This window comes from Homo sapiens, chromosome 9 (assembly GCF_000001405.40).
Source record: "Homo sapiens chromosome 9, GRCh38.p14 Primary Assembly".
NCBI classification, from domain to species: Eukaryota; Metazoa; Chordata; class Mammalia; order Primates; family Hominidae; genus Homo; species Homo sapiens.
Genome location: NC_000009.12, coordinates 74,123,961 through 74,139,610, shown reverse-complemented (window position 1 = coordinate 74,139,610; position 15,650 = coordinate 74,123,961). Strand labels below are relative to the sequence as shown.

Below are 15,650 nucleotides of genomic sequence, written 5' to 3'. Positions count from 1 at the left end.
CATCCATGCATGAGATAAAAAAAATACTTTCAATGACACTTTTCTTTAGACACAAGTTACTTGAAATAATATATCAATAGGTATCAAAGGCTAAAAGAGAAAAATACAGTCGAGAAATCCTAGTTGCATGGCCTTGATGAAGATGCACAGAGATAGGTATATTACATAAAATTACATGAGTACAGAAAACCCAGGGTTAAGAGTTTAGTTTAACTTTGCCTTGCCAATTTTATGTAGAGATAGCTTAGCTGAGTGGTTCTGCTGTAGGATCTCTCATGAGTTTGTACTCAAGGTGTTGGCTGGGGCTGCAGTCAGCTACAACTTTTCCTGGGGCTGGAAAATGTAATTCCAAAATTACTCAAATGGCTGTTGGCAAAAGGTCCCAGCTCCTTGCCACATGGACCTCTCCATAGGGCTGTAGATGAGATGACAGCTGGTGTCTCTCAGAACACATGATTGAATAGCAAAGAGAGTTACATCACACTGCGTTTATGACCTAGTCTCTGGGTCACTTCTGCCTTATTCTATTCGAAGTGAATCAGGACATCTAACCCACACTCAACAGGAGGAGACTATAGAAGAATATGAATATGTGTCAGGAGGCAAGGATCACCGGGGTTCATATTGGAGGCTGGTTTCTTTAAGTACAATTAACAAATCCTCTTTACTTTAGAAAACTGGTTTATTCTTACATTGATTGGTTAATATAATTTATATTTAAGACTTTTATAGCATAAGAATACCTTAGCAAGAAAACATAATTAATGATTGGTGCAATTGTGTGGCATCACTTTTAGACCTATTTTTGACATTGCTGCATAGCAATATCTCATGTTTTATAATGCTGCAAAATTTGCAAAAATATTTATATGCAGTACCTCATTTGGTCCTTACATTAAGACTGTGAGGGAGATAGGATGAGTATCATCTTCAATTTCCAGGTGAGAAAAACTCCCAGGAGCTTAGATATGGTGAATTAAGTGCACCATACACAATTCCTTATTAAGTCCAACAAAGTCAGTTTTTTCGTCACTGTAATAAATAGATTTCTGTTTCTAACTTACATGTGTATGTGTGCACGTGCACAACACACTTGATGGTATGAATCACATTTAGCCAGATGAGAGGCTTACACTAAGATTTGGAGGTGACAGAGTGGCAGAAGGGTATGAATAGTCAATGGGTCACAGGTATATAGGCATAGCAAACTCACCTGTGTTTACTGTGCGGTCTACACAGGCTGAATGACAGGCAGAAATCAATAGCACTATTTACATTTTTTGTTTTGCTTTCTTTTTCTTTCTCTTTCTCTTTTTTTCAGTTTTGCTGAGTGGATATTTGTATCAGCATAAATTCATGGAACATAGGATGTAAATGTTTTATATTATTAGCTTTCATGTTGACTGAAAATTATGACAGCTTTTAAATTCAGTGCAAAAACTTTCAGGTTTTCTTAATATATGACTAAATATATGGAAACATGGCAAGCTTGTGAACATTACCTGTCACATGCGTGGCTACTGTTCAAATAAAAAGTTAACCTCAACTACTTGGTATTGTGGTCCTTGGGATATAACAGTTCCCTCATGTGGCACATATTTTAGGCAAAATAATAGTGGTTGTGGAAGGATGCAGGTGAAGTTTTTTAATGCAGCCAATGCCATATTACTTGTTTTTTTCTAAGCCACAGTATTATATATAATATATTGTCCTATAATATGTATATATAAAAGTGTTAAAAATCCAGTACATTAAAATGTTTCAAAAATTATGTGATTTGTGTAAATCCACATGGCTCCCCTATCTCTTCCCCAAATCTTAAAACTTTTAGATTTCAGTTATCTAAATCCAGTTTTCTTTTTAAATTTTAGCATGAAAAGGTGTTTTTCACAGGTACCATTTTCTTGCATTGTTGTCTTTGCTTTGCTTTCCTCTAAGTAAAGGACTATGTTACTGAATGTTCCACAGAGTTTTACGGAGAATACAAATTGTCTATGATTTTAATATTTTTTAAAAGGGAAAGTTCATGTTTAAATAAGTGTTAAAATGCTAGGTTAAATTAAGCTATCTTGGTTTCTCTGTTTCAGGATTTCCTGGAGATCTTGGTGACTAGTGTGCATTATGAAACACAAAATGAATGGCATTTAGAAGTGCATTAACATTTTTTGAACTCAGAACATTCTTCTAGTCTCCTCATTTTTTTTCCAGAAGTATTTTTCAGTATTACTATATATTTTTCTAGTAGAAAACATTTTTCTTCTTTCAAAGTTTGCCTAACCATAGCCTTCTGAGCTTCCCAACTTGGAAGTGAAATTTGAAAATCCCGTTTTGAGTTACCTTATTTCAAAATCATTTTGTGTTTGCAAACATCAATGAAATGTATCTCTGCATAAAGCTTATAGTCAAAGCCATGTAAGGACATAGTAAAATGTAGGTAGTCACAGTAAGAAATTTACATCGTATTAATTCTAAAATGACCTTATTTAAGTTTCTTATATATAAGATGAATGTTAATATCTCTACTATATCCATATGAAAAACTAGTTGATTTGTCCCAAGTATAGCTAGTAAGCAGGAGAGCTGGTATATGAAGACATGAATTCAGATATTCTGTTTCCATTTTCAGTACTCTGTCCACAATATAAAATATACTTAAATGAATTGCATTCATCACATATGCCCACATACACTATGACTAATGAGCCACCTCCCTGATTATTTAAAATATTTAATACAATTGATATTGTGAAATAATGGTGCTTCCAGATGCACCTGACAAAAATACAAGTTGCTTAGTGATTTATCTTGTTTTCATGCCACAGATTTCTAGGATAGTACTTCATTCACTACTAAAATGAAACTCTCTGGTGTTAAATAGAACAACAGGTCAGCAATACATATAATATCATAACATGGTTGTTGATAGGGTGTGAGAAAAATAAACTTGCTGAAAGAAACTAGAAAAATTCTACAAATGCCAGTTAGAATTAAAACAACACTGGTAAAACAAAATGTCACATGTCTTGGGTCATAGCTGTACTATACATTTTTCATTTAACAAAATTGACATAGCCTTCTTAAAGTCAGGAAAATTCCGTAATTGGATAGCTTTAAAATTGTGAGGCAGGTTTATTTTATGAGGCCAGTATTTCCCCGATACCAAAAGCCAGAAAAAAAGGTATAGACAAATGTCTCTCATGAGCTTAAATTAAACAATTTTAACAAAATATTAGGAAACCAAATCCAGCAAAGTATAAACAGACTTTCACGTAAAGATCAAGAGATTTATTATAGTTATAGATGAATGGAGGCAATATTTAAAAATTAATCAATGTAGTCTGCCCATTTCAATAGGCTAAAGAAGAAAAATCATGTAGATACAGCAATTGATGCAAAGAAGCATTTGACAAAATTCAGTATCTATTCATGACAAAAATCGTAAGTGAAGTAGAAATAAAGAATTTCTTCCAATTCATTAAAAAAAAACTGCCTATGTAGAAAACTAAAGCTAATATCATACTTAATGTGGGAAAACTCTGTACTTTCAACTAAATATGGAAAAGAAGACAGGAATGTCTGCATTTCTTAGACTTACTTGAAATAGTACAAAAAATTCTAAATTCTAGCCAGTACAATAAGGAAAAAAAAAGATGAAAAAGAAAGAAGAAACAAAAGGCAGATTGAAAAGGTATAAATAAAATTGTGCCTATTTGCAGATGCCTTACTGTCAATACAGAAAACTCAAAGGAATCTACAAAACAATTCTTAGAACTAATATAAGAGTCCAGCAAGGTTGTAGCATAAAAAATTAACAGATAAAAATCAATTGTGTTTCTGCATACTACTTGTGAACACATAGAAACTGAAGTTAAAAAAAAGAAATTTAAAAAACCATTTATTCTGCTTTAAAGAAAGTGAAATACCTCTAACTAAACCTAACAAAATGTTTCAATTTTTATGTTGAAAATTAAATTCTGCTGAAAAAAAATCAAAGAAGACATAATACGTTCAACAAATAGAAAACTCAACATTAGTGAAGATGTCAATACTTCCCCAAATTAATTAATTTTAATTCCTATCAAAATATCAGCGAAGACTTTTGTAGAAATAGACAAACTTAGTCTAAAAATTATATAAAAAAGCAAAAAATCCTGGAATAGTCCAAGTAATTTTTAAAAGAATACAGTGAAAATAAATGTCTACTAGATTTTAAGGCTTTACTGTACTTTAAGGCTCTACTAGATTGTAATATAGCTGTACTATGAATACAGTTTACTATTAGCAGAGGGATAGAGATGTTAATGAATGTCACAGAATAGAGTACCCATAAATATATGCACACAAATATGTCCAACTGATTTTCAATTAAAATGCAAAAGCAATTCAAGGGAGAACAACATTTTAACACATGGTACTAGAGCAACTGGACATCCACAGGCAAGAACATGAAGAAAGAAAGAAGAAAAAAGGAAACCTTGATTTATACCTCTCACTTTGCAGTGAAATTAATTCAAAATGGATTACACAGACTTACATGTAAAATGTAAAACTACAAAAATTTTGGAAGGAAATACAGGAAAAAATCTTTGGGACTTAGGACTAAGCAAATAGCTTCTAAACTTGACACCGGTGGCAATGATACATAAAGGGAAAGCTTAATAAATTAGACCTCATAAAACCAAAAACTTTAGCTTTGTTAAGAGAATAAAAAGACAAGTTAAACAGTGGTGTGTCTATGTTAGGTGAAAATATTTGCAAATTACATATATGACAAAAGACTTGCATCTGAAATATAACAAACTCTCAACACTCAACAATTAGAGAAAGTTCAATTAGAAAATAAGCAAAAGACTGTAAGAATATTTTACTGAAGAATATATACTGATGGCAAATAAGCACAGGAAAAGATGGTCAACATAATTAGTCCTTGAGGAAATTCAAATTAAAATCAAAATAAGAGTTTGGGTGTAGTGGTAACCAAATGTAGTGATAACCTAGTGATAGTGATATCGGAATGGCTAAAAAAAAAAAAAAAAACACAACAATAGCATCAAATGCTGGAGAGGAGGCTGAGAAGTGATCATTCATACATTGCTGGTGAAAATATGAAATGGTATAGCCACACTGGAAAAATTAGGTATTTATCTCAAAGAAATGAAAACTTAAATCCACACAAAATGGGTACACAAGTGTTTGTAGCAGTTATATTTGTGATAATCCCAAACTGGAAACCTAAATATTCTTAACCAGCTGAATGAGTAAATGTGATACCCACATACTACAGAATACCACTACGCAATAAAAATGGACAGAAACTACTGATTCATGCAGCAATTTAGATAGCTCTGCAAGTAACTATGTTGAGTGAAACTCATCCAAAAAGTTACATACTTTATCATTGCATTTATATAACACTCTTGAAATGTTTGAATAAATGTGGAGGTGGAGAACAGAGGAGCCGTGTCAGGGAGTTGGGCATGTAGGAGGAAGTGGTGGGTGTGCCTATATAGTTGGTAGGGACAGGGGGCAGGGAAATTCTAGGCAGACAGGGAGAAGCCCCACCCTCAAGCCGGATAGCCTGAGATCGTTGCCCAAAGTGAGAAGTTATATCCCTGTTTTCCTACGCCACCCATGGCCTGCCCCGCTCCCCATATCCTGTGCCTATAAAGACCCCAGACTCAGCAGGCAGAGAGGAGAAGCAGCTGGATGTCAGGGACTACATCTGGACATCGGAGAGAAGCGGCTTGGCTTCAGTTGGACAGCTTGAGGGTGCAACTTCGGAGAGGAATCTGGCTGGAGATGGCTGGACTTCAGGGGAAGATTACCTTCCTGCCCTGTCTTCTCTTCTGTTCTTCCCCCTGAGAGCTGGGCACAGTGGCTAACGCCTGTAATCCTAGCACTTTGGGAGGCCGAGGTGTGAGGATCACGAGGTCAGGAGATCGAGACCATCCTGGCTAACACAGTGAAACCCCATCTCTACTAAAAATACAAAAAATTAGCCGGGCGTGTTGGTGGGCCCCTGTAGTCCCAGCTACTCGGGAGGCTGAGGCAAGAGAATGACGTGAACCCAGGAGGTGGAGCTTGCAGTGAGCCAAGATCGCGCCACTGCACTCCAGCCTGGGCTACAGAGCAAGACTCCGTCTGAAAAAAAAAAAAAAAAAGGTAAAGGGCCCACTGAGCTGTTAACATTTAAGCCATCACAGACAGCAGAGCTAAAAGAGCACTGTAACATGCCTTCTGGGCCTTTAGGAGTCACAGGTACCCCTCAGATGCTGCCATGGGGTCTGCACAGAGTTTGCTCCTGCCAAGGTTCATAAGCGCTCACCTGGCTCCTGCACCTGTTCACCTGTGCGCTCCCTGCCACGAGGGTGGAACGCAGCAGGTCCAAGTGAGTGGAGCTCACTCCTGCCGGTGCCAAAGCAGCCAGCTGGTTCCAGCGCTCATGCACTCCAGTTTCTACCTCGTTTGCTCACATGCTCCCTCCAGTGAAAAATTGAGAGTGGTGGGCTGAGTCAACAAGGCACCACTTTTGCAAGTCCTGCAAAGGAGTCAGGAAAATATCCTGTTTCTAAGTGACAGCACCAGGAAACCTTTGGGGGAAGATTGAACAGCTGTGGATTGTGGCAATGGCAACACAAATTTTTTAAAAAGTGAGGCCGAAACATCTTCTTTTAACTTTATTTTAGAAATAATTTCATCAAACTAGGGAAATAAGAAGGAAGCTAAGATAGCAAACTATGATAAAACATCAGCTCCTACCTATAGAAAAATAAAATGTAAATAATTTGGTAAAATAATCTTGGGGTTCACTCTAGAAATGACTACAGTAAAGATAACAATGGATTTCTAACAAATATAAAAATCATGTAATTATATGAATTTAGTATTTATAAGAAAATATTTGAACATTTTTATAATATTAGAGCAGAAAAGACTTTCATAAATATGATCTCAAACTGAGAAAGTATGAAGAAAAGAACTTGAAAAATTGTCTACCAAAATTTAGAACACCATTATATGATATTTAAAGGGCAAAAGTTAAGCTGCAGGAAATTTATTTTCAATACATATGAGGAGAAAAGGCAAATTTGTTGCATTTAAAAAATAAAAAAGTAATAAAGATGAAAAGCAATAGAAAAACAAAAACATTTTAAATTTAAAACAGAAAGTTTAAAGTTGTAAATAGTTAACTCAGAAAAAAAAAAAATCTGTGTCTGACACACACAGGACCTAGGCTAGACCTCAATGTCTGGTTCAATTTTAAAGAGTGGTTAGGATGACTCCATGCTTAAGTTACCTGTATTCCTATCTTACTGGTCCAGCAGAGAAGAAATTAAAGTGGATATGCATGAAATGAGAATACAATTGAGTAGACAAGTTCCCAAGCAACCCATATTCCTTAGGGAGATTGTCTCTTGGTTCATTTCTCAAGGGAGCCTGAGTAGAGAAAAAAGTTAACAAAGTCAGAGGATCTCAGAGCCCCATGTTTGTAGCTTTTACACCATTTTTGTTGGGAGAGACCTCCTGAAGCCTCAGGAGTTCGAGTTTCGCATAAGATTGCACACTTTATAGTTTTTATTTCTGAGTCACAGTACCTACAGCAGAACTGTCCATGCCATGCCATAAGTCACATAGAGGAAGCTTGATATAACTTAGGAAGAAAAGAAAGAGATCTATTTAATATTGATATTGGTTAGGGTGTATTTAATAGATACAATTACTGAGAAGAGAAAATCAATACAATCCTTGTTAGAGGGGATGGTGTTTAAGTTTACTTAAGCTTTGTGGTCCCAGAAAATATCAGTAGTTAAGAAACCACTCATCACCACTCTTTTGTGTTCTTTTAATGGCTTACTGCAAAGAACCATCCTTCCCCATGTGACTTAGATAAGACTCACGAATGACCCCGTTTACCCATAACAGAGTGAGACAGGACCTTCCAGATTTCTGGGTTTTGTCTCACAAATGACTGGCTGAACTGTTTGTCCCCATTGACCAAGCTGGGCAAAATGCCCCCTACCTTAACCTTACTAAACTTTAGTTGGACTTCCCTCTTTCCCCAGTCAGCTGAATTTTGATCCACCTATGAACATCGGACCATGTAGAACAACCCTCCTTGACGTCCTCTCCCAAGAATCAGCTGACTTCAGGGAAAAACATTTCTTGATCAACTGTCAGATTATGCCACTAGCTCAGCCCACTCCCCAACACCTGGTTTTTAACTACCTTGCTTTCTCCTCCCTATGAAAAAGTAGCTCTTCTTTGCCAGACCTTTGAGATGCTTGCAGATCCCAGCGTCCTTGAGTTCTCCCTCTATTGCAAATTCCCCTTTCTCAATTACAATAGTCGCCTCTCTCTACTGCAGTAGCCCCTCTCTATATTAAAATAGTCCCCCTCCTTCTACTGCAATAGTCCCTTCCTTCTATCACAATAGTTCCCTCCCTGTATTGCAGTGGTCACTCACCCTCTCTTAGCAATAGTGCCTCTCTCTATTACAGTAGTCCTCTTTCCTCTGCTGCAGTCACCCCCCTCTCTTCACTGCAATAACCTCTTCCCTCTATTGCAATAGTCCCCTTCCTATAGTATGATAGTCCACCTCCCTCTAAACAATAGTATTTTGAATAAAGCTCTCCTTATCTATATCTCAATTGTTCTTTTATTATATAGAGGGAAATTTAGCCATGCCTGTAACAACTTAAAATGAATATACCGTTTTGCTCAATAATTCCTTTCTTCAATTGTTTTTACAAAAATACTCATTCATGTATGACAAAAAATATATGTCAAGAATATTCACTCTAGCCTTACTTAAAATGGTAAAAACAAACATAAAGGAAAATATTGAAAACCTAGAAACAATCAAAATACTTATCATCAGGCACTTCTAAATAAACATGTTTTCCATATATTAGAATATAATTGTTATAAAAATAAAAATATTACATTTGATTTTGTTGATATAGGAAGATGACCATGAGGTCGTGTTAAAAGAAAAAGGTAACATACATAACAATAGAGTGTGATTTGTGTTGCCCAAATTTGGGCGTGCGTGCACACACATACACACACACACAAACATATAGATACACCTATATGGATTTATAGATCTAGGTCTATAGGTATGCATATTTATAAATGTAAATCTAGATCTACAGCTATGCATAATCTATACAGATATACATATATGTACATACAAATAAGTATACAGAGAGGAGACACACACACACACACACACACATATACACATACACACAGAAAGCAAGAGAGAGGCATTTCCAATTCGAAGTAGAATTTGGATTTCAAGGAAGGGAGGAAGAGACTCAGTATTTTTCTTTACACACTTTCTCCTGTCTAGATGTTCTGCAATGCACACACACACGCACAGGTGCACACACACATACACCCCTGTGTGTATAGGTATATGCAGTTTTTGTTTTTAAAATTATCATATGGCAAACTACATTATTTGTGTATACAATTTCATGAGTTTTGAGATGTCTAGATTTACGTAACCTTCATAATACTCAGGATACAGAATAATTTAATCATTCTAAAACCCCCTCATGCGATCCCTTTCCAGTCACACCCTCCCCCTCTGCATAGCCCCTGACAACCACGGGTCAGTTCACGGTTACCATTGTTCTGACACAATATTTTGAGGCTGGCTTTTTTCCACTCAACATTATACCCTTGAAATACAACCAAGATGTTGCCTGTGTTGATAGTTTGTTCCTTTTTTTTTTTTTTTTTTTTTTTTTTTTTTTGAGACGGAGTCTCGCTCTGTCGCCCAGGCTGGAGTGCAGTGGCGCGATCTCGGCTCACTGCAAGCTCCGCCTCCCGGGTTCACGCCATTCTCCTGCCTCAGCCTCCTGAGTAGCTGGGACTACAGGCATCCGCCACCACACCTGGCTAATTTTTTGTACTTTTAGTAGAGACGGGGTTTCACCGTTTTAGCCGGGATGGTCTCGATCTCCTGACCTCGTGATCCGCCCGCCTCGGCCTCCCAAAGTGCTGGGATTACAGGCGTGAGCCACCGCGCCCGGCCTAGTTTGTTCCTTTTTATTGCTAAATTGTTTTCATTGTTTGGATCTACCATAGTTTATCAATCCATCATTGAAAGACATTTGGGTTATATCCAGTTTTAAGAAATTATAAATAGAGCTTCTTTAAAGATTTGCATACAGGTTCTTTGTGGTCATTTTATTTTTCTAGGGCAAATCCCTAGGAGTGGAATTACTGGATCACATAGAAAGAACATGTTTATGAGAAATTGTTTAACCATTTTCCAGAGTGGCTGTGCACCACATGTACTTTTTACAATAAAAATTTTATTAAAATAGCATGGAATATGTGGCCATTAATATTTGGTTCTTAAGGATGTTCATGTCCTAGGGGACCCTGAATTCTTCAGGACATTTGAAACACTTCATTCTGGGTACAGAAGGGCTGCCAGAAAGGCAGACAGATAAAGTATTTATATGACATTACTTGAGGTGCTGACATTCTGTAGGTTCTGTATTAAAAACATTAAGTACAGATTTTATGTATGAAATTTAGTAACTTGGGATTGGTGGAGAGGACTGATTCGGAACTCCCCTCCCTAAAGTTAAGTTATAATAACAAGAACAGTAACTTGGAAGCAAAAACTGGGCTTGGTCAAGGAAGCTGGGTGGTCTAATATTCAAGTTTATTGCTAACTCAGGCAGGATTATAGCAAGATCTGGGGTGGAGATGAGGGAGAGTTTCAATCCAAGATTTGGAGAACTGTAATAAGAGCTTCCTATCAGCTCTCTTACTTGGAAGTCAGGCAGGGCATTAGAAAGCAATCCTTTTGCCTTATTTCCTTATTCTTAAACTAGTTAAGGATTTTTTTGTGTTTTTGTTTTAGTCCCCCCACCCCTCAATAGGTTTCCTCATTGTATTTCATTTACTTATTCAAGGTGTGGATGACCTCCCTTTTAGCCCACCAGATCTTCGGCCTCTTACTGGCTGAGAATCATTCACTCATTTATTCAAAATTATTTCCTAAGTTCCTACTACATTTCAGGCGTGCACTGGGGGGAAAAAAAAAACAGACAAAACCCCCACTCACAGTAAGAGAAGAGAGAAAAACACATTTTATACAGTGATAGATGCGAGGCAGAGAATTAAAATAGGGTGACGTGATAGAGTTACCAGGTGTCTCTTATCAATCGGGTCATCAGGGAATGTTGTTCTAAAAAGGATGGAGTGAGTTGAGATCTGAATAACTAGAAGGAGTGACTCTAGGAGGGCTGACATTAAAAACATCCAAGGCATGGAGAACAGGCTGTATATAGGCCCTCACACAGGGTGCTCGCCAGTAGAAGAAAGACCAGTGTAGGTAAAAGAATGGACAATTGGAGGAAAGGATGTAGGAGTAGGATCACTTTGCAAGCCAGGGGAAAAAGTCTTTATTGCCCTCGAAGTATATTGGGAATTTTCAAGGAGATTGTACGTAGGGGAATGACATGATTTGGATTTTTGTCTGTCAAACATCACTTTGGAGGCCTTGTAGGGGAAGGATAGGAAGCAAGGGTGCCAGAATGGAAGATATGCCAGTGGTCTGGGGAGGCTTAGTGGTGACGTGAACTGGGTAGTAGCAGTCAAGGAGGAAAAAATATGGGCACAACTGGGATGCAGCAAAGGCATTAGACATTGGAGGGTTATTTTTCCTTTTATGTTTATTTAGGACTGCATCTTAGGTGCTATAATTTCCTTCCTTCCTTCCTTCCTTCCTTCCTTCCTTCCTTCCTTCCTTCCTTCCTTCCTTCCTTCCCTCCTGTCTTTCATTTGTTTATTTAGTTGAGACAGGGTCTTGTTCTGTCACTCAGGCTGTTAGAAATTGTAGAGCTATTTTTCCTTTTATTTCTATTTTGAAATTCTGTATCTTAGATGCTCATCTTTCCTTCCTTCCTTCTTTCCACCTTTCTTTCTTTCTTTCTCTTTCTTTCTTTCTTTCTTTCTTTCTTTCTTTCTTTCTTTCTTTCTCTTTCTTTCCTTTCTTTCTTTTCTTTCTTTTCTTTCTTTCATTTGAGACAGGGTTTTGCTCTGTCACCCAGGCTAGACTGCATTGGTGCAATCATAGCTCACTGCAGCCTTGATCTCTGGGTTCGAGCAATGCTCCTGCCTCAATCTCCCAATAGCTGAAACTATAGTGCATACCACTGCATCCTGCAAAATTTCTAATTTAATTTTAATTTTTTTGTAGAGATGGGGTCTCGCTGTGTTGTACAGGCTGGTCTTAAACTCCTGGTCTCAAACGATCCTCCCACTTTGGCTTCCCCAAATACTGGGATTACAGGCATGAGCCACTGCCCCTGGCACGAACTTTATTTTAAAGTTTGGCTGCTGAAACTAGAGAGAACAGAGGTTTGGAGTAACTGTTGTGCTTAATGATAGACGTTGGAAAAAATAAGGTATATCTGGAAATCTTTCAATGTTAATTGAATTATAACATGTCAGGGCCTTGTACCAGAAGGACCCCTTTATGAATAAACATCAACAGTTCCACTCTTCTGCATCCTCTCTTAAAAGAAATCCTGCTTAGCAAGGGATGAGGGTTGTTATGGTAATAAACAGAGGAAGTGAAGTGAATAGTTATACCAAGAAAATAGTTGTAAAAGTTGTTTACATGTTGTGAAGTGAATAGTTATACCAAGAAAATAGTTGTAAAAGTTTTCATCTCTGACATGGGTGTTAGATGCCATATTGCTGCCCCCCATATGTTGGGTTAGCATCACTCAAATGCTAAAATTCACAGTGATCTTATGAGCTATTTTGGTCATTGTCTTACGTTCAATATTTTGAGACTTTCAGAAGAATGCATCTATTAAAGATGAGGAGAGAAGGTTTATAATAGTGGTGACGTGCTTAATGTTTCTCAGCTCTAATTTGTTCATCTAGAAAATGGGAAGAATAATACTTATCCATTATCAGTTATTGTAAGGAAAAAATATAATATGTAAAACAACATGTAACGCACATGGCATGTATCATATGCTTAATGAATTTAGGCTATAATATTAGGCTTTGAAACACCTTTTCAGATATGGGACCTCCAACCAGTAAGTCACAGAGAGAGGGGAGAATCTAATGCAGAAATGGAGAGTTGACAAGAGCTATGGAGGATACTCAGAATTAAGCTAGGGTAGAAAAGGAATGGAGGGCTAAACAGTATAACTGACACACCTGAGAAAAAATAATGAGGCTCAGATAAAAGATATAAAGAATTTTGAAGCAGATCCTTTTTCTAGACAATGGTTTATACCTGGTATATGGGATCAGCGTCAGATAGACTGTGAGGCATGAATGGCATTCCCTATGCAAAGCTCTTTGCTGAGATACCATATCCTGTATCTGGAAAGCATGATTCAGTGTTTTCTGTTTTGTTTTGTTTTAAAATTCCCATTCTTCCTTATTGGCAAATCATGAGGCTTGGGAGTGCTGGCTGTTGAAGGCTGCTTGTGAACTGGGCAGGGCTACAGCTGTGTGAAGTGAAGCATCAGAGTCACTGGTGGGGAGAAAGAATGAGACAGAAGAAACCAGTCGGGCGGTGGATGCTGACTCTGAGGCATGACGGGGCATCCTTTGTCTTGAACCTATCAATTTCAGAGTTTGAGGAGTCTCCCTGGAGAGAAAGTGGTAGCGAACAAATCTACACTCTGATCCCCTTGTTCGTCTACTTTTTCCTCAGTCCCAGGGAAAGGGGGGTTGCAATTTGTTAAAGTATTGGAAGCTCTCTGGAGCTTCTCTATTGTAAGCTGCAGTTTATCACTTTTCTTTGGAAGAATAACTAGAGATTCCCATAGCAGCTTGTTTGTATTTCTTTCCACTCCTAGATGGATCTTACAGGAAAAAGGATTCTACCTTCATTTATAGCCTAAGTTTGGGAGAGTCACTGCGTTTATTCTTCTTTTAGCTATCAGAAGCCTAAGTCGGGATAGAATGCTTCAAGGAAATAATCACAACTGCTGTGTCATCTTTCTCAAATTAATTTTAGCACTTTCCTTCATCTTCTCTACCTTTTTCAGCCTAACAAACAGACCAGATGTTACTAAATTGTGATCTTCTTTATAGTACAAGGCTGAGGTCTCCAGGGTTTTAGGCTCATATGCATAGCCTCTCCGTCGTCACATGCCCAGGGAATGTGGCTGTGTTTGGGGTTAGTAAATCTGAAGACATTAATTTTATTTAGCATCTCCTCAGCAATAGCTCTGCATTCACTAATGGCACCTTAGATCTCTTGAGATAGCCACACATTAAACCAGAAATACATAAATTGTCTGGATTGCAAAAGTGAGAGATTTTTAACTCCTGAGTAACCAACACATTTTCATGGAAGGAAATGATCAGAGGTAAAATTCAAAATTGTAATTCATAGAATTTGGAACCAAAGATAATTTTATTTTTTTTCAGAAACACACCAGGACTCTCAAACTTAAAAAAGAAAGGTTTAAATGCACCCCTTTTTTGTTTGGTAGAGATTCTTAGGTAAAAATAATAAGATAAATGTAAAATCACTTGGCACTTTGCTTATAATTAGTTTCTAAATAAATGCCAGTGGCTAACATATGTGGTAATCTCACCACTGGCCTTGGTGTACATTAGAATAGTATCAGGTAGAGAAAATGGAAAGATTCTTTAGAGTTAGAAAATACATTTGATAACGTTTAATTTTTATATTTTTATATAGAAAAACTTGAGTCCTAGAGAAGGCAAACGGTTAGGGTGCTCACAGATTTAGGACAGAAGCAGGAGAAATTAATGGATACTGGATCCAGAAGATACCAGTTTGAATCTTTTGTCTGATTTATATGATCTCTATGACTTTGGCCAAATTAGTGAGCTTCTTCCAGCTTTGGTGTCCTCATCTATAAAACAGAAATAATAACATATCTATATCACCGAATTGTTTTCTCGGAGTGAAATGAAATAAGTTGTATAGAGTTATTTTAAAAACTATAGAAAACTATAAAACATGTCTATTGTTCTTTTAAAAAAGCAAAGGTAACATTTATTGGGTTGATATAACATTCCAGGCACTTTTTCTGAGAGCTTTGCATATCCATATCTACACAATATTTTGCGAAGATTGTATTTTTTTTTTTATTCTTACAATTGGGAAAACTGAGGCTTAGAATAGTGTCTGGCCCAAGGTTTTTAAACTTGGTTTCAGCTCTTTCCTCCTCCTTTCATACTATCTTTTATACTATCTTTACCCAGATGGTTTTTTTTTTTTTTTTTTTTTTTTGAGACGGAGTCTTGCTCTGTCGCCCAGGTTGGAGTGCAATGGCGTGATCTTGGCTCACTGCAAGCTCTGCCTCCCGAGTTCATGCCATTCTCCTGCCTCAGCCTCCTGAGTAGCTGGGACTACAGGCATCCGCCACCACACCTGGCTAATTTTTTGTACTTTTAGTAGAGATGGGGTTTCACCGTGTTAGCCAGGATGGTCTCGATCTCCTGACCTTGTGATCTGCCCACCTCGGCCTCCCAAAGTGCTGGGATTACAGGCGCGAGCCACCGCGCCCGGCCCTACCCAGATGGTTCTTCTAATGCAAACACTCCATAGGTGTTTTGATCCACTTCACTGTATTATCCATTTCAAAGATATTTTTATAAAGCTAATAAAA

The 15,650-nt window shown here is 37.3% G+C and overlaps 1 long non-coding RNA gene across 1 annotated transcript in view; it reads left to right on the top strand.

The window, feature by feature from the left end:
- LOC101927329 (uncharacterized) overlaps positions 1 to 15,650 on the top strand; it is a 154,205-nt gene that overhangs the window by 135,776 nt on the left and 2,779 nt on the right. The gene's annotated exons all lie outside the window — the stretch shown is intronic.